The following is a 25132-nucleotide window of genomic DNA, read 5'->3' as shown; positions in this document are numbered from 1 at the left end:
TCGAGACCAGCCTGGCCAACATGGTGAAACCCCGTCTCTACTAAAAATAAAAAAATTAGCTCAGCATGGTGGCGCGTGCCTGTTAACACCAGCTACTTGGGAAGCTGAGGCAGGAGAATCACTTGAACCCAGGAGGCAGAGGTTGTAGTAAGCCAAGATCGCACTATTGCACTCCAGCCTGGGCAACAAGGCTGAAACTCAGTCTCACTCCAGCAAAAAAAAAAATTAGCCGGACGTGGTGGCAGGAGCCCATATTCCCAGCTACTCAGGTGGCTGAGGCACAAGAATCGCTTGAACCGGGGAGGTGGAAGTTGCAGTGAGTAGAGATCGTGCCACCACACTCCAGCCTGGGTGACAGAGCAAGACTCTGTTCTCAAAAAAAAAAAAAAAAAAAAAAGGTTATATTATAAATAAAAATTGCACTTCCTGCCGGGCACGGTGGCTCACGCCTGTAATCGCAGCACTTTGGGAGGCCGAGGCGGGTGGATCACGAGGTCAGGAGTTCGAGATCAGCCTGGCCAATATGGTGAAACCCCGTCTCTACTAAAAATACAAAAAAAATTAGCTGGGTATGGTGGTTAACTACTCGGGAGGCTGAGGCAGAAGAATCCTTGAACCCAGGAAGCAGAGGTTGCAGTGAGCCAAGATCGCGCCACTGCACTCCAGCCTGGGCAACAGAGCAAGACTCCGTCTCAAAAAGAAAAAAAGAAAAGTAAAAAAAAAAAATCACACTTCCTATCCCACTGACAGTAACTTCATTGAAAACAGGAATTTCACAGGAAACTTCAAAACAGCACCATAAAAGTATAATGTTTTCCTAAAGCATTTTAGGAGCTTTATCCAAACATCAAAGAGATAAACATAAGTTAAATAATATTAAGTGGGATAACTGTTATTTCACATGTTTACATATTGTAACAATAGTCCAGATCATTTAAACTCACTTCAGCCATGTGAAACAACACACATGATGTTTCTACAGTGCTCTATGAAAGAAGTGTACATTTAATAAGATTTTCAAGATGTTTGGCCTGTACTATGAAACTTCTTTTTATAGAGACAGGGTATCACTCTGTCACTCAGGCTGTAGTGCAGTGGCTTGATCACAGCTCACTGCAGCCTGGAACTCCTAGGCTCAAGCGATTCTCCCACTTTGGCCTCCCAAAGCACTGGTATTATAGGCATGAGCCACTGCACCAGCCTGAAACTCTTGGTTTTAGTGTGATCACTTTTTTTTTTTTTTTTTTGAGATAGAGTCTCACTCTGTTGCCCAAGCTGGAGTGCAGTGGCACAATCTCGGCTCATTGCAATTTCCGCCTCCCGGGATCAAGAGATTCTTGTGCCTCAGACTCCCGAGTAGCTGAGATCACAGGCGCACATCACCATGCCTGGCTAAGTTTTTTGCATTTTAGTAGAGACGGAGTTTTGCCATCTTGATCCAGGCTGGTCTCAAACTCCTGGCCTTAAGTGATCTGCCCACCTCAGCCTCCCAAAGTGTTGGGATTACAGGTGTGAGCCACCGCACCCAGCCTATGGTGTGATAACTTTACTGATGGGCTAAGAAGCCACTCACTTGGTACCATTTCTATTCTGAGTCACAGGTGTTAGGTTTACACAGGTATTTCCTACATTTGAGGGATAGGTCATCTCTGCTAGAGATGTTTCCTCTGCAGCCAATAAAAACCCACATGCCAGAAATTAAGCTCACACAGTCAAGACTGAAATTCTATGTCTCTAGCCAAAGACTCACATAAGTAAACAGAATTTTAGTTCTATATGTAGACATCACAATGAGTAAGTACTGATATCATTTTTTTTTTTTTTGAGATGGAGTCTCGCTCTGTCGCTCAGGCTGGAGTGCAGTGGCACAATCTCGGCTCACTGCAAGCTCCGCCTCCCGGGTTCACGCCATTCTCCTGCCTCAGCCTCCTGAGTAACTGAGACTACAGGCGCCTGCAACCATGCCCGGCTAATTTTTTGTATTTTTATTAGAGATGGGGTTTTACCATGTTAGCCAGGATGGTCTGGATCTCGTGACCTCATGATCCACCCGCCTCAGCTTCCCAAAGTGCTGGGATTACAGGCGTGAGCCACCGTGTGCGGCTGATAACATTTTTTTCACTGAAAACCAGCAACAAAAAATCAAAGAAATCAATGAGTTATTCTTATCAAATCAGTTAAGTACTCATTAAACACTTGTGTGCTCAATTGGGGTTGAGAAAGCAAAGAGAGAAATGAATGCAGAATTCCTGTTTACAAATTAGCCAGGTCAGACATCCTTATAGAAAGAAACAACTAGGAAATGAGTATACATTCACGTCAAGCATCTTTTTTTTTTTTTTTTTTTTGAGACGGAGTCTGGCTCTGTCGCCCAGGCTGGAGTGCAGTGGCGCCATCTCGGCTCACTGCAAGTTCCACCTCCCAGGTTCACGCCATTCTCCTGCCTCAGCCTCCCGAGTAGCTGGGACTACAGGCGCCTGCCACCATGCCCAGCTAATTTTTTGTATTTTTAGTAGAGACAGGGTTTCACCGTGTTAGCCAGGATGGTCTTGATCTCCTGACCTCGTGATCCGCCTGCCTCAGCCTCCCAAAGTACTGGGATTACAGGCGTGAGCCACTGCGCCCGGCTATCTTTTTTTTTTTTTTGTAGAGATGCAGTCTTGCTATTTTGCCCAGGCTGGTCTCCAACCCCTGACCTCAAGCAATCCTCCCACTTTGGCCTCCCAAAGTGCGAGGATTACAGGCGTGAGCCACCATTTCAAACATCTAATAAGCAGAAAAAATTAAAATACAAGATAGCAGTAATTAGCTGGGCGTGGTGGCGCGCGCCTATCTATGGTCAGTCCCAGCTACTCAGAAGGCTGAGGCACACAAATCGCTTGAATCCAGGAGGCAGAGGTTGCAGTGGCCAAGATCATGCCACTGCACTCCAGCCCAGTCACAGATCAAGACTCCGTCTTAAAAAAAAAAAAAAGAAAAGAAAAGAAAAGAAAAAAGCAAATAATCAAGCACTACACTGAAAACATTTATCCTTATCAGCTACATAGCAGCCTGTGTGTAAGAGTTACATAAAATTCCATTTTAGGGCCGGGTGCAGTGGCTCATGTTTGTAATCCCAACACTTTGGGAGGCCGAGGCTAGAGAATCACTTGAGGCCAGGGGTTGGAGAGCACCCTGGGAAACATACAAGGATTCCATCTCTACAAAAAAATTTAGCCCAAGTGTGGTGGCTCACACCTGTAATCCCAGCACTTTGGAATGCCGAGGAGGGCGGATCACGAGGTCAGGAGATTGAGACCATCCTGGCTGACACAGTGAAACCACATCTCTACTAAAAATAGAAAAAATTAGCCAGGCATGGTGGCGGGCATCTGTAGTCCCAGCTATTCAGGAGGCTGAGGCAGGAGAATGGCGTGAACCCAGGAGGGGGAGCTTGCAGTGAGCCGAGATCGCGCCACTGCACTCCAGCCTGGGCGACAGAGCCAGATTCCGTATCAAAAAAAGAAAAAAAAATTTAGCCAGGCAAGCTAAATTAGTAGGTGGCAGGCCTGTGGTCCCAGTTACTTGGGAGGCTGAGACAAGAGGATAGCTTAAGCATGGGTGGTGGAGGCTACAGTGAGCTGTGTTCCTGCCACTGCATTCCAGCCTGGGAGACAGGGAGAGAGAGAGAGCCTTTTTTTTTTTTTTAAATTTTTTTCTTTTTTTTGAGACGAGGTCTCGCTCTGTCGCCCAGGCTGGAGTGCATTGGTACAATCTTGGCTCACCACAACCTCCTAGAATTGCTAGGTTCAAGCAATTCTCCTACCTCAGCCTCCTGAGTAGCTAGCATTACGGCAGGCGCCATCACACCAAGCTAATTTTAGTGTTTTTAGTAGAGATGGGGTTTCACCATGTTGCTCAGGCTGGTCTCAAACTCCTGACCTCGTGATCCGCCCGCCTCGGCCTCCCAAAGTGCTGGGATTACAGGCGTGAGCCACCGCGCCTGGCCAGAGAGACCCATTTTAACCACACAAGGACCCAGCTAAAAAACTTCCCCTGGTTCTGTCACCATCAGAGGAAGCCTGAGCTCCTACATCTCTGTCCTGCACTTTTTCACTTTAGTAACGACCCTCCAGGCTCGGTAGCTGATGCCTGTAATTTCAGCACTTGGGACGCTTGAGGCAGGAAGATTGCTTGAGTGCAGGAGTTTGAGATCAGCCAGGGCAACACAGCAAGACAACATCTTTACAAAATATTTAAAAATCAGCTGGGTGTGGTGGCACGCATCTGCAGTCTTAGCTACTCGGGAGGCTGAGGTGGGAGGATCACTTCAGCACAGGCAGTTGAGACTTCAGTGACTCGTGATCGTGTCACTGTACTCCAGCCTGGGTGACAAAGTGAGACCCTCTCTCTCAATAAATAAATTAATAGGCACCTCCTTGTAGTTACTGGCCTCCTCTCCTTTGATTCCCCCCTCTCCCTCACTCCACCCTGTTAGTCTGAATGTTAGTCATTCTTCAAGACACATGCAGAAAGTATTCCCTGATCCCTTCCAGGCTCCACACCCAACAGCATGGCCTAAATGCCCGGCTCCTTCCTCGGTGCTCCATCTTAGCTCACATTCCTTACCACACTGTTTTGAAAGTATCTTGACTGTCCCTTCTCCTCAACTGGCTAACTTCTAGAGAGCAGAAACATGACTGCTTGGAAGGTCATTAAAAATTCAAATCCTGAACATTTCTTAATCCTGCGGATATGAATCAGTGACTCTTAAAAGCAAAATGTTATTTATCATTAAATATTAACAATATAATCACATTTTCTTGCATCTCTGGCAAGTTTCTTGGTACAACAATTTTAAGGAACAGACTCTTAGTTTTTTTTTTGAGATAGAGTCTAGCTCTGTCGCCCAGGCTGGAGTGCAGTGGCACGATTTCGGCTCACTGCAACCTCCGCCTCCCGGGTTCATGCCATTCTCCTGCCTCAGCCTCCAGAGTAGCTGGGACTACAGGTGCCCGCCACGATGCCCGGCAAATTTTCTTTTTCTTTTTTTTTTTTATTTGTAGTAGAGACGGGGTTTCACCGTGTTAGGGAGGATGGTCTCAAGCTCCTGACGTCATGATCCGCCTGCCTTGGCCTTCCAAATGCTGGGATTACAGACGTGAGCCACCGCACCCGGCCGGAACACACTCTTTAACAGCAGTTAAAGCCGCGCAATGGCTCACGCCTATAATCCCAACACTCTGGGAGGCCGAGGCGGGAGGATCACTTAAGGCCAGGAGTTTCACACCTGCCTGGGCAACACTGTGAGATCCCATGTCGAAAAAAATAATAAATAAAAACAAAGCAGTTCTAGGTTTAGAGGGGGGAAAGCAGCTCTCCAGGCCAAAAACCAACTCCCAAGGTGCTCCGGTAAACTCGTCCTGGGAAAATTTCCTACCTAATCTCAAAGGCAAAACGAGCCCACGGGCGCCCACGACACATTTCCCAACCGCAAGGATTGGTCACCCGCGCTGAGACACCGCCAGCTGCCTATGACCTAGCCTCCAAAGCGGCAGAGTCCCTCCCTCTCTCTCCCTAAACTGCCGTGATGGGCATCCCTCGGCTCTCCTCCCAGACGGTTCGGAAGCAGGGACTTCTGCTCCTAACCCCGGCCCCGCAGCCTCGCCCTCAGCCACGGGGTGGAAGTCAGGACCACAGGCTTCAAATCCCCTCCCAACTCCGGGACACTTCTGCCCCCTAGGGTGACGTGGGATCAAGTCCCCGCGCCCCTGCCGCGGCCGGGGGCTGTGGTCTGGGTCCGAGCGTCCCATACCAGCGCTTTCCGGGGAGGTTGTGGGAGGGGCCCCGTGCGACCACAGACGCTGCTTCGGAGCCAGCGGCCTGGACGGAAGGTGGGAGCCGGGGCGAGGGGAGCCGCCGGAGAGGGAGGCGGCCAGGAAATGCTCCGCGTCAGGCCGTCGGGGCTCGGCTGGCGCTGGAGATCCCGGCAACTAGCGTCTGGGACGGAGAGGCCGCACTCTGAGGATTAAGGGAGCCGAGGGCGGCCTGGAACGGGGAAGGCGGCGCTGACGGAGACGGAATGTGGGACGAAGGACAGCGGGAGGCACCGACGCGCAACTGCCCCAGCCGCGCGGATGGCACGGACCGACCGCCCTGCCACCCCCAGCCCGAGACGCCCCGCCGCCCCGCTCCTGTAGCTGAGAGCCGAGCAGCTCTCAGCCCCAGTCCGTCCGCTCCGTACCTCGCCCGCGTCTCCGCCGGCGTCCAAACCACCGCTCGCCCGCTTCGCCCGGGTAGGTCTGGGCTCCGCGGCCAGCTCCCGCCTCACACCCACCCTCCTGCTCGCCCCGCCCCCGGCACCGCCAGCGAACGCACGTTACGCGCGGCGCGTAAACGTCACTTCCGGGGCCTTTGACTCTGGACGGGAGGAAGTGCGAGTGGATCCAAAGGGTCGAGCGGAGTGGGGTACCGCCCTGACGCCCAAGAGCAAATGGAAGAGGGCGGCCTCCGGGGTAAAGGTGGGGCGCTGGGGAGCCCCGGAGAAACCGGCGTTTCCTAGTCTGTCGCTCAGTCCCTGCTTCCGGCTTCCGACGCGCAACAGCTGGAGGGCGACGCTGGCTCCGCGGCGACTCCTGGGGCTGCGGCCGCGGTGGTAGCGCGAATGGGAGGTGGAGCGGAGCTACTGCGCCGAGGGACGCTTCAGAAACTCTGTTTCAGTCCTTCGCGGATCCTAGGATGTGACAGGTGTTCGAGTTAAAAGGTCTTAAGGCGATCGGTTGATCCAAAAGCAGCTGAATCTTTAGGAGGCCCAGGCAGGAGGATCGCTTGAGTCCAGGAGTTCGAGACCAGCCTGGGCCACAGAGCAAGGTCACCATCTCTACAAAAGAAATTTTACAAATCAGCCGGACATGATGGCGGGCACCTGTGGTCCCAACTACCAGGGAGGCTGAGGTGGGAGGATCGCTTGATAGCCCAGGAAGTTGACGGTGCAGAGATCCCTCCACTGAACTCCAGGCCGGGTGACAGCAGAGCGAGATCCTGTCTCAAAAAAAACATAACCGACATCCAGAAGTGAAATAAATTAGCCAGTGTCACAAAGTATTAATGGTTGAGTCACAAATTGAATCCTGTTTACCTGATTCTTTACGTGATTCCCATGTAAGGAATGTTAAAAACAGTAAATACTAATTCCTCTGCGTCCTGAATGCCATGTATGGCGTAACGTGCAGTCACAGCAAGAAAAAAAAGAAAATACTATGCTGTGGCTGTGAGATAGACCTGGGTTAAAATCCCAGCTTTGCTAATTGTCGCTGTAGTGTTCTTGGACAGGTTGCGTAATTTTTCAGTCTATTTTTTTTTTTTTTTTTTTTTTTTTTGAGACTCTCACTCTGTCGCCCACACTGGAGTTCAGTCGTGCGATCTCGGCTTACTGCAACCTCCGCCTCCTAGGTTCAAGCGATTCTCCCACCTCAGCCACCCAAGTAGCTGGAATTACAGGCACCCGCCACCACGCCCAGCTCATATTTTTTTTTTTGTATTTTTAGTCGAGACAGGGTTTCACCATGTTGGCCAGGCTGGTTTTGAATCCTGACCTCAAGTGATCCGCCCACCTTGGCTTCCCAAAGTGCTAGGATTATAGGTGTGAGCTACTGCGCCCGGCCCGAGTTTCTCAGTCTTTATTCATTATTGGTAAAGTAGGGATTAACTGATTCGTTTCTCAGATTCTTCCTAAGTGCCTAATGTGTGCTACGCTGAGGGTACAACAGAGTATAAAACAAAAGTAAGGCCAGGCGCAGTGGCTCACGCCTGTAATCCTAGCACTTTGGGAAGCCGAGGCGGGCAGATCACCTGAGGTCGGGAGTTCAAGACCAGCCTGACCAACATGGAGAAACCCTGTCTCTACTAAAAATACAAAATTAGCCAGGCATGGTGGCACATGCCTGCAATCCCAGCAACTTGGGAGGCTGAGGCAGGAGAATCACTTGAGCCCGGGAAGCGGAGGTTGCAGTGAGCTGAGATTGCGCCATTGCACTCCAGCTTGGGCAACGAGTGAAACTCCTCCTCAAAAAACAAAACAAAACAAAAAAACACAAAGTACCTGTGCTGAGGAGGTGGAGGAGGGAATAAACAATAATTATTTACAGTAGTACCTTGGATGGTGGTAATTGCTATTACCAAAAGACAGAATAACATTTACTTTAAAGCTCTTAACTGACTTTTGTGATTACAGAATCAGGCAACACACCATTCTATAAACCATTCTGTGAAACAGAATGAGTGTTTCTTTTTTTTTTTTTTTTTTGAGTTAGAGTCTCACTCTGTTGCCCAGGCTGGAGCACAGTGGTGCAATCTCGGCGCACTCCAGCCTCCAACTCCCTGGCTCAAGTGATCCTTCTGCCTCCACCTCCCTAGTAGCTGGGATGATAGGTGTGTGCCAGCACACCCAGCTAGTTTTTGGGGTTTTTTTGTAGAGACAAGGTTTTGCCATGTCGCCCTGGCTGGTCTCGAACTCCTGGACTCAAGCAATCTGCCCACCCCGGCCTCCAAAAGTGCTGGGATTACAGGCATGAGCCTAGACCCCTGGGCCCAGAATGAGTGTTCAATGGGCTGAGCAGAAGAGGTTGGTGCTAAAGACAGAAAAGGCCTGAGGAAAGCAGTAACAAAAACTGAATATCATTTCAAAGTTTCTTTGTGAAGGTTAAGCTAGAGAGGACTGGCCGGGCATGGTGGCTCACGCCTGTAATCCCAGCACTTTGGGAGGCCAAGGCAGGCTGATCACCTGAGGTCAGGAGTTTGAGACCAGCCTGGCCAACATGGTGAAACGCCACCTCTACTAAAAATACAAAAATTAGCCAGGTGGTGGCCTGTACCTGTAATCCCAGCTACTCTGGAGGCCGAGGTGATAGGATCACATGAGCCTGGCAGGTTGAGGCTGCAGTGAGCAGTGATCATGCCACTACACTCCAGCCTGGTTGACAGAGCAAGACCCTGTCTCAAAAAAAAAAAAAAACAAAAAAAACAAAAAACACAACCAAGAAGCTTGCAGCTTTAAAATAGACCGGAGCGGCCTCATGAGGTGACCTGAATAAAAGATGAGGGAGCCAGCTGTGCTGCTATGCAAATATCTGGGCAAGAATGTTCTAGGCACCGAGCAGCAAGAGGGAAGACCCTCCTGACACCGCTAACCTGTTTAGCAGTAGCAGGCTGGGGCACGGTGGTAGGATCATGGCTCACTGCAGACTCCAACTCCTAGGCTCAACCAATCCTCCCACCTCAGGCTCACAAGTAGCTGTGACTACAGGCAAGTGCCACCATGCCTGGCTGCTATTTTGCTGTTGTTGAGAATGTGTTTTTCCACGTTTTAGTGTTAAGTGACAGGAACAACAGAGGTTTTTTAAAAAAGACTTTCCTTGGCAAAATTAAAGGAGAACAGCACTATATCAGTCTTTCATCTTTTTTTTAATTGTTTTAAACTACTGAAAGAAGTCTGGTAACCACTGCTACACACCATGCCTCCTTCCCATGGCAAGGCTGAGCCCCGAAATCCGGATCTAAAGGTACTCTCCATATTGTTTTAGACTGCCCCCCCCTACCCAGTCTCGTATTGCGTAGGATAGCCAGGTGTGGTGGCACACGCCTGTAGTCCCAGCTATTCAGGAGGCTGAGGGGAGAAGACTACTTGAGCCAGGAGATTAAGGATGTAGTGAGCCATGATGGCCCTGGTGAAGAACAGCCACTGCATTCCACCCTGGGCAATAGAGCAAGACCCTATCTCCAAAAAAACAGCCCCCAAGAAACAAAAAAACACCTAAAAATTAAATAAATACTGTAATACCAGCATTTTGGGAGGTCAAGGTGGGAGGATTGCCTAAAGCCAGGAGCTTGAGACCAGTCTCGGCAACACAGCAAGATTCTCTCTCTCTCTCTCTCTCTCTCTCTCGCTCTCGCTCTCTCTCTCTCACTCTCTCTCTCTCTCTCTCTCCCCCCTCATATATATATAATGATGATAATATCACCCACATCAAGTAAGAGCAGTGGAAGCCCCAGTGCATCAGCACATATATATATTTGTGTGCGTGTGTGTGTACGTGTGTGTGTCTGTATACGTAGGTGTCTGTGCATGTGTGTATAATTAGATAAATAAAAATAAAACTTTGTTTTGTTTTGTTTTTTGAGATGGAGTCTCGCTCTGTCGCCCTGGCTGGAGTGCAGTGGCGCAAACTTGGCTCACTGCAACTTCTGCCTCCTGGGTTCAAGCTATTCTCCTACCTCAGCTTCCTGAGTAGCTGGGATTACAGGCGCAAGCCACCACACCTGGCTAATTTTTGTATTTTTAGTAGAGATGGGGTTTCACCATGTTGTAGTGAGCTGGTCTCAAACTCGTGGCCTCAAGTGATCCACCTGCCTCACCCTCATCACCTGCCAAGTCCTACCCATTCTAACCCTGATAGCTCTTAAATCAGGTCTTTCCACCTCAACCTCATTATCACTGCTCTAGAGCTCAAGCCTTCAGTGTCCTTTCACTTCCTGAATTTACTGTCTTAGTGCTCTTGCTCACATTGTATTCTTTGCCCAAAATGCTCTTACCACTCCCCTTCTTCTTCTGTCTATAGGGCAAGTTAAATGGCCCCATATAGTGGTATAGGTTGTTCACTGCACTGAGACTATCCATCACCACCTCTACCTCATATGTGAAAGGACTTTTGCTAAAGGAACATTCCTGTCCTTGCTTTCCATCCTTGTTTCTCCTCTCTCAGTATTTTCTGCTGTGCTCCATAGTAATTTTCTGGGGATAGGGTTTATCTGAGAAAGTGTGTGCATGGGTGAAGACCTAGGGGGTCTGGTATTACCTATGACTAGGGGTCTTGAGTCTATCTAAGGCAGGAGTGAATGTCAGGATGCCCACTGAGGCTTTGTTTTTTGTCTTGTTTTTTTCCATCATCATCCCTTTCATTTCCTTTTCCTGTCTTACTGCATTGGCTAGGATCTCCAGTGCAATGCTAAATACAAGTTGTGACAGTGGACAGCAACCACCTCTACTCAATAATAAGGCTGATGTTTTATCAGCCTTATTATCAGCCATCTGATGTCTATATCTAGTTCTCAATTTGTTCTGAATGTGTGAGGGAGATACTACAGGCCTCTGTATTCGTTTGTTCTTGCACTGCTATAAAGAAATGCCTGAGACTGGGTGATTTATAAAGGAAAGAGGTTTAATTGGCTCACGCTTCTGGAGGCTGTACAGGAAGCATGGCTGGAGGGGCCTCTGGAAACTTACAATCATGGCAGAAGGATGAAGGAAAAGCAGGCACGTCTTCACATGGCCATAGCAAAGGGAAGAGAGAGAGAGGGGGAGGTGCTACACATTTTAAACCACCAGATCTCACAATAACTCACTCACCATCACGAGAACAGCACCAAAGGGGAAACCCCCCCCACAATGATCCTGTCACCTCTCACCAGGCCTCACCTCCAACTTTAGGGATTACAATTTGACATGAGATTTGGGCAGGGGCACAGAACCAAACCATTTCAACCTCCCAGAAGTCCATTTTACAGATGAGGAACTGTGAGGTAACTCACCCAAGGTCACACATTTATTAAGAGGCAAAGGTCTTATGTGGATCTCTGCCAGTTTGACTTCAAAGCCCATAATCTAAACTACTATGCTATAAAGTCTTCCATAAAACATAGTCTAAGGGAACAGTCATTTAATAGCGTGATGCTGGAGTGAGATCAGGGATACACACGGTTGGAATAGGCTACAAAGGAGCGATTATGTATAAGAACCAATCCTACCTAAAAATGCAAGCCATGATAACACAAGCACTACACAACAATGGGAAATGGGGCAGGCATTTGAGGGGGGAGGAAATTAGCTAACACTTTATATCTAACACTAAAATGACCTCCAGACAGATTATAAAGTTAAAACTTACATAAATAAGTAATACAATTCTAGACTAGCTAGTAGGAAATAAATTCTTTTTAGCCTCTGGAAAAGCATTCATAAATTTTCCTTAACTTCCTTAACGTTCCTGAAACTTCCTAAGGAGTTTTATAAATGTTCTAGCAAAAGAAGAAATCACACGGAAAAAGACAAACCTGTTTGGCCATGTGGTGAGCAGTTTTGTGGGGTGGCGAGGGGGTCCCCAGGAGCACCACTACTGCAGACATGTGCAGGAGTGACCAACCGAGCAGGAGGAAGCCACAGCGACCAGCAGTGTCCGTCATTTTTGAAGACCGAGAAATGACAACAATATCATGCACCCATTGGTCTCCCACAGGAGTGCTCCTTTGGGGCCAGGCACGGTGGCTCACACCTGTAATCCCAGCAGTTTAGGAGGCCAAGGTGGATGGATCACTTGAGGTCAGGAGTTCGAGACCAGCCTGGCCAACATGGCTCATCTCTACTAAAAAAAAAAAAAAAAAAAAATTAGCCAGGCATGGTGGCTCACGCCTGTAATCTCAGCACTTTGGGAGGCCAACATGGGCGGATCACTTGAGGTCAGGCATTCAAGACCAGCCTGGCCAACATAGCAAAACCCCATCTCTACTAAAAAAAATACAAAAATACAAATCATTGCTTACACTACCCTGGCAGGGAATGATGTCCAGCTTCATAGACGAGGAAACAGAGGCTCAAAGAGGGTGAGCATCTTACCCAGAATACACAGCTAGGAGGTGGTAGAGCTTAAATTCCAGCCCACACCATCCTATGCTCTAGGCTGCCCCAGAGCAGGCTTCCCTGGGGGCAGGAGCCGGGTTGCCTCCATCAGACACCGATAACCCGTGCCTCTCCTTGCCTCCCAGGTCCCATCAGCTGCCCCCGGACTCTGTGGTTTGGGGCATGGCTGTCCTGCCTGACAATGCGTCTAATCTTCAAAAATACCTCAAAAGTATGGAGTGGAGAAATGAATGAATGTGTCCCCAGGGCCCCGTTAGACCAATGTTGGACAATGGGGCCACAGAAAAAAGGAAACCAGGCTGATGACTGCCTCTAGGAGGTTTTTTTTGTTTTTTGTTTTTGAGACGGAGTCTCGCTGTGTCGCCCAGGCTGGAGTGCAATGGCACAATCTCAGCTCACTGCAACCTCCACCTCCCAGGTTCAAGTGATTCTCCTGCCTCAGCATCCTGAGGAGCTGGGATTACAAGGGTGTGCCACCACACCTGGCTAATTTTTTTATATTTTTGGTAGAGACGGGGTTTCACTATGTTCACTGGGCTGGTCTCAAACTCCTGACCTCAAATGATCTGCCCGTCTCAGCCTCCCAAAGTGCTGGGATTATAGGCGCACCTGGCCTAGGAGGGTTTTTTTGTTTTGTTTTGTTTTGTTGAGATGGAGCCTCACTCTGTAGCCCAGTCTGGAGTGCAGTGGCACGATCTTGGCTCACTGCAACTTCCACCTCCCGGGTTCACGCAATTCTTCTGCCTCAGCCTCCCGAGTAGCTGGGATTACAGGAATGCGCTGCAATGCCCAGCTAATTTTTGTATTTTTAGTAGAGATGGGGGTTTCACCATGTTGGCCAGTCTGGTTTTGAACTCCTGATCTCCTGATCTGCCCACTTCAGCCTCTCAAAGTGCTGGGATTACAGGTGTGAACCACTGAGCCTGGCCTAGGAGGTTTTATATTGGTGGAGAAGACAGGCTAAGACCCAAATCGGTGCCCCCAGTGTAACAGTCAATGTCACACCAGTGTCACATTGGTGCACAGCAGCCTAAGTGGGGCAGCCTCGAGGGGGTGGTCAACTCCCCCAGGCTGGGAGAAAGTGGGGAGGCAGTGTGGACACTTCATGGAGATGGGGATGTTTTGGCCAAATCTTGAGAGAAGGCTATTCAGGCCTGGGCTGCAGGGGCACTGCCAAACGGCCAAGACTTTCCAGGAATCACCTCACCTGGAAGGCAGGTGAGGTGCACAGGGAGAGGGAACCAGAGAGCACCAATGCCTTAGGGGCCAGGACTCCAGGAACCTTGACTACGCGGCTAAGGAGCTGGAACTTTCTCTGCATTATATAGGGAGCTGGGGAAGGGCGTCAGGCTAAAGGGACACAGTCATACGGTTGGACTTGCCACTTTTGCAAGCTCACCCTGACTGCCGAGAAGTTTAGAGAAGCAGGGCGAGCCTGGGGTCAGGGAATTCTGGCAGAGGCTGGTGCAATAATCCCAGTAAGGGATGGAGAGGTCTGTGATTAAACACTGTCATGTGGCTACAGAGTGAGAGCGAGAGCAAAAGCGAGAGAGACAGCAAGAGAGAGCGAGTGAGAAAGAGAGACAGCAAGAGAGCGAGAGAGACAGCAAGAGAGAGAGAGCGAGAGAGAGTGAGCGAGAGAGAGAGAGCACAAGAGCGCAGCTTGTCAGGAAAATTGTGAACCAAATTTCATGATGGAGTGGAACTGAAAGTCAAGGGGGTGGTTATAGAGGGCTGCCTGGACTCTGGGGAGACTGTCGGTTTCACCTGCTGAGATGAGACACCCAGAGGATCGGGGGAGGCTTGCAGAGGGTGAGTGACTGGGGACACCCAGTGGGAGATACTTGGGTATATGGACCTCCACTTGCCTCCTCTCACCTGGAAAGTCTCCCCTAAAACACCCACTTACTGCCAGCTCCCATCTCCTACCTTAGGTCTCATCTGCTTCTCCTCACCTCTTGGTGGGTGGTGGGCAGCAGGGGAGCCAAGCCCAGATGCCAGGCCTGAGCCCAACCCTGGCCCCAGAGGCAGCCCCAGAGGCCTCGCACCCCCTGCTCAATGAGGCTCCGTGTCCAGACGCCAGCTGCCTGCTCAGCCCCATGGCTAGCTGCAGCTGGCATGGACCCAGGGCTCGCTTATGGACGGTGCTCCAGGCACCGAGGCCCACTGGTGTGGGAGTTGTGCCTGGACCATAGGAAGAGAGGGCGGTGGCCTGGTGAGCCGGGCGTTCTAGCTACCCTTGGTACAGCAGGCACCAGGCCCTGGCAGAAGCAGGCTGGGCTGGGGGTGGCTGGCAGCCCTGGCCCGCAGGCGGCTGACTGGCTGAGCAGCTGCTCATCTTGTTTTCCATCTCCTCCCCAGATCATCGTCCAGCCTTCCCCCATGGGCCCTGGGGGGAGTGGATGGAGACAGGGGGCTTCTGTGCACATCTCAGGGGCGTCGGATGAACCTTGAATCCTCCCAGCTCTGCTTTCACTGTGCACCTTGGGCAGTTGCCAAACCTGAGCCTCAGTTTCTCCACTATGACATAAAGTGTCTGGGGCAGCTCTAGATGAAGGTGAGGCAGGCATGACTGTGGCACAGGAGGGTGGCTCTCCTGGCAGACCTGATGCCAAGAATCCTGATGTTAGACAAGGTCTCGCTCTCTGTCACCCAGGCTGGAGTGCAGTGGCACAATCATAGCTCACTGCAGTCTCGAACTCCTGGGCTCAAGCCATCTTCTCACTTCAGCCTCCTGAGTAGTAGGAACTACAGGCATGTGCCACCATACCCAGCTAATTTTTTTTTTTTCTGGAGAGACAGGGTTTCACCATGTTGCCCAGGCTGGTCTCAACTCCTAGTGCTTAAGTGATCCACCTGCGGTGGCCTCCCAAACTGCTGAGATTACAGGTGTGAGCCATCATGCACAGCCTCCAAGATCCTTATTTACCAGCCAGGCGTTCATGCTCTTAGAGCCTCAACCCCACACGGTGCCTTCTCAGGTCTCCAACACTTGCCTGATCAGATACCCTCTCCTGTGACCCCCTTCTTCCTCTTCTCTGGTTTTCCAAGGCCTCCTGGTTCCCTGACACCCACCTCAGCCCAGCCCTTCCCAACATTCTTGCCCTTGAACTCCTCAAGGACATTCTGCCAAGTCCTGTTGCCAGGCCTGGAGTTACTCTCTCCCTCCCAGCCCCACTCTGCTGCCATGAGCCTAACCTTCCCCTTACCTGGCCCAGCCATGGCTCCAGGGCAGGGGCTGGGCCTCAGTGTCCCTGTGTGCCCCCTTGAAATGTGGTACACAGTCCCAAAGCAGCAGGAGGTTAAAAAAGGAACCAGGAGGCCCGCAGCCTGGCCCCGAATCCCTGCGCTGTCATTTCAGACTAGATGACCTCAGGCAATTCTCCCCGAATCCACCCCACCCCTGCCAGTTCTGTGCCTCCCTCTGAAAAGTGGGGCTATACCACCCCTGCCTACCTGCTCACAAGTGAGAATTGAAACCAAGTGCTGGGCCTGGCACGGTGGCTCACACCTGTAATCCCAGCACTTTGGGAGGCTAAGCAGGAGGATCACTTGAGGTCAGGAGTTCGAGGCCAGCCTGGCCAACATGGTGAAATCCCATCTCTACCAAAAATACAAAAATCAGCCAGGTGTGGTGGCGGATGCCTGTAATCCCAGTTACTTGGGAGGCTGAGGCAGGAGAATTGCTTGAACTGGGAGGCGGACATTGCAGTGAGCCGAGACTGTACCATGGCACTCCAGCCTGGGTGACACAGTGAGACCCTGCCACCAAAAAAAAAAAAAAAAAAGAAAAAGAAACCAAGTGCTATATGTGAATGAGCTCAGGTAATCTGCATAGACTCTACCCCTTAACTTAAGCCCAGGAGGTTGACGCTGCAGTGAGCTATGATTGCAACACTGCACTCTAGCCTGGGCAACAGAGCAAGACTCTATCTAAAAATAATAATAATAACCTACCGTTTAAGATGCCTTTATGTGGTAGATTAAGTGGTGGAGCCTATTGTTTATCCCCTGTCGATAGATGAGGAAGCTGGCGCTCAGCAGAAACAGTGAGTGACTTCCTCAGGGTCTCAGGGCTGCTGAGAGGTGGAGGCTGGAAATGCTCCCAGGTGGTCTGAGATGGAAGCCCTGCTGGGAAGTCCTCCCTCAGGGGACAGGAGCCTGTGGACATGCCTTGCACCCTGTTGCACTCTCCGTGGACGTGAGGAAGTGCTGCTCTTTTCATCTTAGAGATGAGAAAGGGAGGCCTGAAGAGGAGGCAGTGACTTTTGGAGGCCACCCTGAGTCTATGGCACAGCTGAAACACTGATTTTGCTTTCAGCTCTTCCCTCCTACTGGAATTTCCTGATTTCTTTGAGATCTGAAGTAAGGGGGACAAGGCTCCTGGGCCTCCATGAGCCAGGTGGCCCTGATGATGAGCCACCCACAGATCCGCAGGCATTGGCTGCAGGTGCCAAGCCAGTCAGCACAGACCTCTGCCATTTGCTGTCATTGCCATGCAAGGAAAGAGTCCCAGCTCACAGGCAGACGTGCTCCACAAGGCAGCCAGGACCTGCAACCTGGCCACATCCATCCATCATCTAGGGTCACCTCTCCGTCCAGACCCATGCCTGGTTATTAAGAAGTATTTAGTGATGGCAGGAGACCCACCTGGAGACTGGATGGGTGATGGTGGCAGTGATGATGGTGGAGTTAGTGAAGACAGTGGAAGTGAGAATGGAGGTAAGGACAGGTGTGAAGGTGAAGGTAAAGGTGGAAGTAAGGATGGAAGTGAAGGCAGAAGTAAGGATGAAGGTGAGGATAAAGGTGAGGTTGAAGGTGAGGATAAAGGTGAGGTTGAAGGTGAGGATGGAGGTGAGGATGGAGAGCAGGAGGAAGGGGAGGACAGAAGTGAGGTTGGAGAGGAGAATAGACGGGAGGACAGAGATGAGGATGGAGGTGAAAGAGGGACAGTGAGTGAGAAGAGAGTGAGAATGGAAGGGAAGATTGAAGTGAGGAAGGGAGAACAGAGGGGAGGATGGAGATGAGGAACGAAGAATGGAGGGGAGGATGGAGGGGAGGATGAAGGCGAGGATGGTGGTAATGGTGGAGGTCAGGGCTGGGTGCGGTGGCTCACACCTGTAATCCCAGCACTTTGGGAGGCCGAGGTGGGTGGATCCTGAGGTCAGGAGATCGAGACAATCCTGGCTAACACAGTGAAACCCCATATCTACTAAAAATACAAAAAATTAGCCAGGCATGGTCGCACGCACCTGTAGTCCCAGCTACTCGGGAGGCTGAGGCAGGAGAATCGGTTGAACCCAGGAGGCAGAGGTTGCAGTGAGTCGAGATCGCGCCACTGCACTCCAGCCTGGGTGACAGAGCAAGACTCTGCCTCAAAAAAAAAAAAAAAAAGTGGAGGTGAAGATGGAGATTTGGATGGAGGTGAAGATGCAGGTGAGCGTGGAGGTGAGTTTGGAGATGAGAGTGGAGTTGAAGGTGGAGGTGAGGATAGACGTGTAGGTGTAGGTGAAGGTGGTCTTGAGGATGGAGGTGAAGGTGGAGGTGAGGATGGAGGTGAAGGTGAGGGTGGAGGTGAGGATGGCGGTGAGGGTCGAGGTGAGGATGGAGGTGAAGGTGGAGGTGAGGACAGAGCTGAAAGTTGAGGTGAGGATGATGAGGATGGAGGTGAAGGTGGAGGTGAGGACAGAGCTGAAAGTCGAGGCGAGGATGATGAGGATGGAGGTGAAAATGAAGTTGGGGATAGAGGTGGAGGTGGAGATAAGGATGGAGGTGATGGTGGAAGAAATGGTAAAAATGGTGAAGACACTGGTGATGGCAATGGTGAAATGGGAATGCCATTGTGGGTCATGAAATCGAAGGTCATGGTTATGGTGGGAACAGGAACAAGCAGAGGCAACTTCCTGAGAATAGTTCTTGACCCAGGTCCCTCCATGAACCTCGAAGCTGACCCAGCCATAGGGGGGATACCTTCATTTCAGTCCCAGCAGCCTCCCCCAACCAGTCAGGGTCCCTGAAGAGCATCTGGCTCTCCACAAGACAATAGACAGGAAGGGGACCCAGTGGCCCCCCCAAGCTTAGCTAATGTGAGTGAAGAACCAGGCAGAACCCAGGCAGCAGATGGGATAGGAGTTTCCAAGCCAGTGCTTAGGGATAGGCCCTCCCAATTCAGAAACAAAGCAAGGCCCTGGCCACAGCCAGGAAGGATTGTAAGGGCCTTCCTGAGCAGACACAAAGGAGCCCTGAGCTGCTGGGGGTGATGAGGAGCGGAGGCAGGGCCAGGCAGAGGGTCTGCAAAGAATTACACTGGAAAGGTGGAAGGGGGACATTGGGTCTAGTGGTTTGGCCTGTGGAGAGCTGTCAGGAGAGGGGAGGATGAGGTTGGTGGAGACGCCTGAGGCAAGGGTGTTTGGGGGTCTTGTTGGCAGCATGGTGGCAAAAGGCTCCAGAGGCAGCCACGCGTGTGTTCCAAGGCAGCCGCTGGGAATCCCACCACCTCTGGCTCACAAATGCCTCTCCTATTGTTAACATGAACACAGACCTGTCAGGCCCTCCATAATCGATGCCTGGACTTTTCCATTATCCACGGGCAGCCTGCCACTCACGGTTCCCCAGGTGTGCCCACTTCTGGCCACCGCCAGGACCCCTGCGAGGGGCTGGCCTGGAGAAGCCTGGCTGGGAGCATGGGCCGGCCTTCCCGACTCACTGCACAGGCTGTGGGCCTTGCCAGGTGTCAGACTCAATTTCCTGACCCTTCCTGCTCAGAGAACCAAACATCTCATCTCTCCACCCAAGCTGGGTCCACCCAGGTCACTGGCTTGGCAGGAGGAAGATCCCTGGGGGTCCAGACCAACTGACCAGGCAGGGCAGGGTAGGAGCAGAATGCTGAAAGGTCATGAATCCAATTTGTCACCCATGGGACAAACTTTCAAAGGGAAGGCAATGCCATGGGATGGGGTGGCCAGGGAGGCCGTGGAAGGTATTGGAGGAAGCCCTAGGCCCTGAGTCCAGAGAACCCCCAATTCAATCCCCTGACTCACCCTGTCCCACGGACAAGAACCAGGGCCAGCTCCACTGGCAAATCAGGTAGTTGAGTAACTGGATTTTTGAGGTCCACCCCACCTTCCATTAGTCAGCAAAGATCCCGATTCTACAGCCAACCCCATATCCTTACACAATTTTGAATGTATTGCTTTTATTAAAAGAATAGCTTTATTGTAATAAAATTCACACACCATACAATTCACCCATTTAAAGTGTACCATTCAGTGGTTTTTAGTATATTCACAGAGTTGTGCAATCATTTCCACAGTCCATATTATATTTTATTTTATTATTTTTTGAGATGGAGTCTTGCTGCGACACCCAGGCTGGAGTGCAATGGCGCAATCTCGGCTCACTGCAATCTCCGCTTCCTGGGTTCAGGCGATTCTCCTGCCTCAGTCTCCCAAGTAGCTGGGACTACAGGCACATGCCACCACACCCAGCTAATTTTTGTATTTTTAGTAAAGACAGGGTTTCACCATATTGGCCAGGCTGGTCTTGAACTCCTGACCTTAAGTGATCAGCCCACCTCAGCCTCCCAAAGGGTTGGGATTACAGGCGTGAGCCACCGCACCTGACCTCGCAGTCCATTTTAGACCATTTCATTATCCTGAAAACAAAACCTCTGCTTTTTGGGCTGGGTGCAGTGGCTCATGCCTGTAATCCCAGCACTTTGGGAGGCTGAGGTCGGGGGATTACTTGAGCCCAACAGGAGTTTCAGACCAGCCTGGGCAACATAGCAAGACCCCATCTCTTTAATAAATTTAAAAACTAGCCAGGAGTGGTGGTGCATACCTGTAGTCTCAGCTACTTGGAGGCTGAGGTGGGAGGATCGCTTGAACCCAGGAGTTGGAAGCTGCAGTGAACTATGATGGCACCACTGCACTCCAGCCTGCACAACAGAGCAAGACCCTGTCCCTCTTAAAAAAAATGCTTAAATCCCTCCTAATCTCTGGGAGGCCTCCTGGTCTTTGAGCCTGGAGTGAAGCTGAACCCACAGGTGAGAGAACAAGAGGCCCCAGCTACAGGAAGAGAGGACTGCAGAACTGGAGGCACTACCACCCAGCAGATATGAATAAGCACCCACTGACTAGGCACTCTCATAGTCATTTGATGGCTCTGGGTCCCAGCTGTGGGCAAAGCCCAGGCTGGGTGCTTTGGGATTCTGGCTCTGTGCCTGGCATCCCTTCTGGCCCTGTCTGAGTAGCAGCTTCCTGCAGACAGATGTGGCCTTGTGCCCTGTGCTGGCAGGTCCTCCCGAGAGCTGAAGGTGCCTTAGGACCCAGGCCCATGGCTGCTGACCTCCACTGATCAAGGGAGGCCTGATGAATGGGGGTTTTCTAAGTGGGATCACATCTCTCCTCAGGTCACAGTGCCCAAGAAAGGGTCACAGCTTCCCCCTCTGATTGGGTCTTCACATGGAAGGGTCCACGTCCCCCTCAGATTAGACTTTCCAAAGCATGGGTGTAACTCCCTCATCAGACTTACTTTTCGGGGGAGCTCCTTGTGTCTTCCCTCAGACCTTTTGCAAAGCATGCCTATGTTTCTCCCCTTAGGGTAAGGCCATGTCCTCTCTGTCATACCAGCTTCCTAGGAGTTCCACCCACAGTGTGGCCTTCTATCCGAGCTGCACTTTCCTCATCCATAAAGTTGGGGGAGTCATATCTGCCTCATAAAATTGCCATGGATGGAACAAAAACAGCATAACATCACAATATTCACGAACTCATCAAAACTCACTATAGCCATACTATGTAATGTTATTGGCAATAAAAAGAAACAAGAACTGATACATGCCACAACATGGATGGACTCTGAACACATGATGCTAAGTCACAAAGAATCACAGATTGCATTATTCCAGTTATATGAATAGACAAATCTATAAAGACAAAAAGTAGATGGGTGGTGGCCTAGGGCTGAGGGTGGGGCAGAATGGAGGGACTGTGGGACAAGGGCTAAGGGGAGTGAAGCTTCTTTTAGGGATAAGGAAAATATTGTAAAATTGATTATGATGATGGATGTACAATTCTCTGAATATACTAAAGGTCATTAAAGTGTACATGTTAAATTAGTGAATTGTATGGTAAAGTAAAGTGTATCTTGATAAAGCTGTAAAAGGATGTACAGACATGTAAGGAAGTGGGAAAATATGACCTGTAATTAAAAAAATAATAATCGAAACAGACCCAGAAGTGACAAAGATGATCAAATTAGTTTCCAAGATTTTAAATCGGCTATAGAAATATGTTCAAGATTTTAAAGGGAAAACAAATATAATAAGGAGAGAAATAGAAGATTTAAAAGAGAACCAATGGAACTTCTAGAGCTGAAAACATAATGTCTAAGATAAAAAACATATGGGATGAGCTTAACAGCAGATTTGGCACTACAAAGACAAGATCAATGAACCTGAATCTATCTAAACTAAAGCACCAAGGGAAAAAAGCAAGCCAAAAAAAATTTTAACAGAGCCTTGGTGACCTATAGGACAATATTAATCCATCCAACACACATATAATTGGAGTACCAGAGGCAGAAGAAATAATTGCTGAATTTTTTTCAAACTATAAATTTGATGAAAACCATGAACCCAAAGATCCAAGAAACTCAAAGAGCTCCAAGAAGAATAAATATTGATTCAGGCCAGGTGCAGTGGCTCACGCCTATAATCCCAGCACTTTGGGAGGCCGAGGTGGGTGGATCACAAGGTCACGAGATCAAGACCAGCCTGACCAACATGGTGAAACCCTGTCTCTACTAAAAATACAAAAATTAGCTGGGCGCAGTGGCATGCGCCTGTAATCTCAGCTACTCGGGAGGCTGAGGCAGGAGAATTGCTTGAACCTGGGAAGCGGTGGGTGCAGTGAGCCGAGATCGCGCCACTGCACTCCAACCTGGTGACAGAGCGAGACTCCGTCTCAAAAAAAAAAAATAAAATAAATAAATACTGATTCAAAGAAAACCACACCAAAACATATCACAATCAAGTTGCTGAATACCAAAAATAAAGAGAAAAATCTTAAAAGCAGCCAGAGAAGGAAATAACACATTATGTAGAAGGAACAAAGATAAGAATTACTGCTGACTTATTATCAGAAACAATGAAAGCTAGAGGACAATAACATGACATCTTTAGAGTGCTGGGGGGAAAAAGCTGTTAACCTATAATTCTTTATTCAATTAAAATAGCCTCTCTCAAACGAAGACAAAAAAAAAATTTCTTAAGAAACAAATGGTGAGAAAATTTATTGCCCAACAGAAACTGCAACACAAAAATTTATAAAATTAAAATTTCAGGCTAAAGGAAAAAGATAAACATAAACATGAAATACAAGACAATGAAAAGCACTAAAAATGGCAAATATGTGGATTAATGTAACAGATATTTTCTCTTATTTTCATTTCTTTAAAAGATAATTGGCCAGGCATGGTGGCTCACACCTGTAATCCCAGCACTTTGGGAGGCTAAGGTGGGCAGATCACCTGAGGTCAGGAGTTCGAGACCAGCCTGACCAACATGGTGAAACCCCGTCACTACTAAAAATACAAAAGTGGCCAGGCGTGGTGTCACAGCCCTGTAATCCCAGCTACTCAGGAGGCTGAGGCAGGAGAATCACTTGAACCCAGGAGGCAGAGGTTGTGGTGAGCCAAGATCACACCACTACACTCAAGCCTGGGCAACAAGAGTGAGACTCCGTCTCAAAAAAAAACAAAAACAAAAACAAAAAAAACAGTAATTGTTTAAAGAAAAAATAGCAGTGTATTGTGGGGTTTATAACTTCATAGGTGTAAAATGCATGACTACAATAGCATAAAAAATGGAAGATTGAAATGAAAGTATGGTGTTGTAAAGTTCTTATATTATTCATGAAGTGTTAAACGCAACGTAAGGGTAGATTGTGAAAAGTTAAAGATTCACATTATAAACTCCAGGATAATCGCACACACAAATAGCTAATGGGTCAAAGGTGACAAAATGGCAAACAAAAACCAAAACAAACAAGAAACTTCAATCTAAAGGAAGGTAGGAGACCCAGTGTGGTGGCTCATGCCTGTAATCCCAGCACTTTGGGAGGCTGAGGCAGGCAGATAACATGAGGTCAAGAATTGGAGACCAGACTGGCCAACATGGTGAAACCCCGTCTCTACTAAAAATACAAAAACTAGCCGGGCGTGGCAGCGCTTGCCTCTAATCCCAGCTACCAGGGAGGCTGAGGTAGGAGAATCGCTTGAACTCAGGAGGTGGAGGTTGCAGTGAGCCAAGATCACGCCATTGCACGCCAGCCTGGGTGACAGAGTGAAACTCCATCTCAAAAAAAAAGAAAAAAAGAAAAGAAACAGTAATTAAAGAAGACCTAAATAAATGGAAAGACATGCTGTGTTTATGGACTGGAAGACTTAATATTGTTAAAATGCCAATAATCCCTAAAATGATGTACAGATTCAGTGTAATCCTTATCAAAATCTCAGCTGCCTGTTGTAGAAAGTGACACGCTGATTCTAAAATTCATACGGAAATGCAGAATTACAAAACAATCTTGAAAAAGAAAAAAATTGGAAGACTCACACTCCTTGACTTTAAAACTTACTACAAACCTGTAATAATGAAAACATCATAGTAGTGATGTTTTATAGACCCAAATATAAAAGCTAAGGCGACAAAACTCTTAGAAGAAAAGGTAAGCATAAATCTTTGTGACCTTGAATTAGGCAATGGTTTTCTTAGATACAACACCTAAAGCACAAGTAATAAAAGAAAAACTTCATAAATTGGAGTTCATCAAAATTTAAAACTTTGTATTTCTTTTTTCCTTTGTTCTTTCTTTGTAAGGACAGGGTTTTTTTGTCTTTTTGTTTTTGACACGGAGTTTTGCTCTGTCATCCAGGCTGGCGTGCAATGGCACAATCTCAGCTCACTGCAACCTCCGTCTACTAGGTTCAAGTGATTCTCCTGCCTCAGCCTCCTGAGTAGCTGGGATTACAGGCGCGCACCACCACGCCTGGCTAATTTTTGTATTTTTAGTAAAGGTGGGGTTTCACCATGTTGGCCAGGCTGGTCTCGAACTCTTGACCTCATGACCCACCCACCACAGCCCCCCAGAGTGCTGGGATTACAGGCGTGAGCCACCGTACCCAGCCCCTGAGACAGGGTCCTATTCTGTTGCCCAGGATGAAGTGCAGTGAAACAATCATGGCTCCCTGAAACCTTGAACTCCTGGGCTCAAGTGATCTTCCTGCCTAGCTGGGACATCATCAGGTATATTGGCATGTGCTACCATGCCCAGCTAATTTTTTTGATTTTTTGAAAAGACGGAGGGGGGGTCTCACTATATTGTCCAGGCTGGTCTTGAACTACTGACCTCAAAGTGATCCTCCCACCTCAGCCTACCAAAGCACTGGGATTACAGGCATAAG

At 49.3% G+C, this 25132-nt stretch overlaps 1 protein-coding gene across 39 annotated transcripts in view, besides 5 other annotated features; it reads right to left on the bottom strand.

The window, feature by feature from the left end:
• Window positions 1–25132, bottom strand: part of RABGEF1 (RAB guanine nucleotide exchange factor 1) — a 156898-nt gene that overhangs the window by 64449 nt on the left and 67317 nt on the right. For 20 of the 39 annotated variants that reach the window (NR_160287.1, NM_001367736.1, NM_001367735.1 and 17 more), the window contains exon 1: window positions 6224–6283. The exons of 15 other annotated variants lie outside the window; for them this stretch is intronic. The gene's annotated coding sequence lies outside the window, so the exon portion shown is untranslated. Of the gene's footprint in view, window positions 1–6223; window positions 7021–25132 lie in introns of those variants that run through there. 4 more of the 39 variants (NM_001367723.1, NM_001367740.1, NM_001367746.1 and 1 more) reach the window with 3 other exon arrangements.
• Window positions 5940–6606: an enhancer, noted in NCBI's record as "H3K27ac hESC enhancer chr7:66205397-66206063 (GRCh37/hg19 assembly coordinates)". NCBI's record gives its function as "activates a minimal SCP1, AML or CMV promoter by ChIP-STARR-seq in primed H9 embryonic stem cells {active_cell/tissue: H9 hESC(primed)}" and the evidence as "EXISTENCE:reporter gene assay evidence [ECO:0000049][PMID:30033119]".
• Window positions 6060–6199: a silencer, noted in NCBI's record as "silent region_18215". NCBI's record gives its function as "represses an Ori minimal core promoter by ATAC-STARR-seq in GM12878 lymphoblastoid cells {active_cell/tissue: GM12878}" and the evidence as "EXISTENCE:reporter gene assay evidence [ECO:0000049][PMID:35858748]".
• Window positions 6220–6489: a silencer, noted in NCBI's record as "silent region_18214". NCBI's record gives its function as "represses an Ori minimal core promoter by ATAC-STARR-seq in GM12878 lymphoblastoid cells {active_cell/tissue: GM12878}" and the evidence as "EXISTENCE:reporter gene assay evidence [ECO:0000049][PMID:35858748]".
• Window positions 6620–6669: an enhancer, noted in NCBI's record as "active region_26086". NCBI's record gives its function as "activates an Ori minimal core promoter by ATAC-STARR-seq in GM12878 lymphoblastoid cells {active_cell/tissue: GM12878}" and the evidence as "EXISTENCE:reporter gene assay evidence [ECO:0000049][PMID:35858748]".
• Window positions 18822–19322: an enhancer, noted in NCBI's record as "H3K4me1 hESC enhancer chr7:66192681-66193181 (GRCh37/hg19 assembly coordinates)". NCBI's record gives its function as "activates a minimal SCP1, AML or CMV promoter by ChIP-STARR-seq in primed H9 embryonic stem cells {active_cell/tissue: H9 hESC(primed)}" and the evidence as "EXISTENCE:reporter gene assay evidence [ECO:0000049][PMID:30033119]".

This window comes from Homo sapiens, chromosome 7 (genome assembly GCF_000001405.40).
Source record: "Homo sapiens chromosome 7, GRCh38.p14 Primary Assembly".
In the NCBI taxonomy this organism is placed as follows: Eukaryota; Metazoa; Chordata; class Mammalia; order Primates; family Hominidae; genus Homo; species Homo sapiens.
The sequence above is the reverse complement of the archived record's forward strand: the minus strand, read 5'-3'. Positions and strand labels throughout refer to the sequence as shown.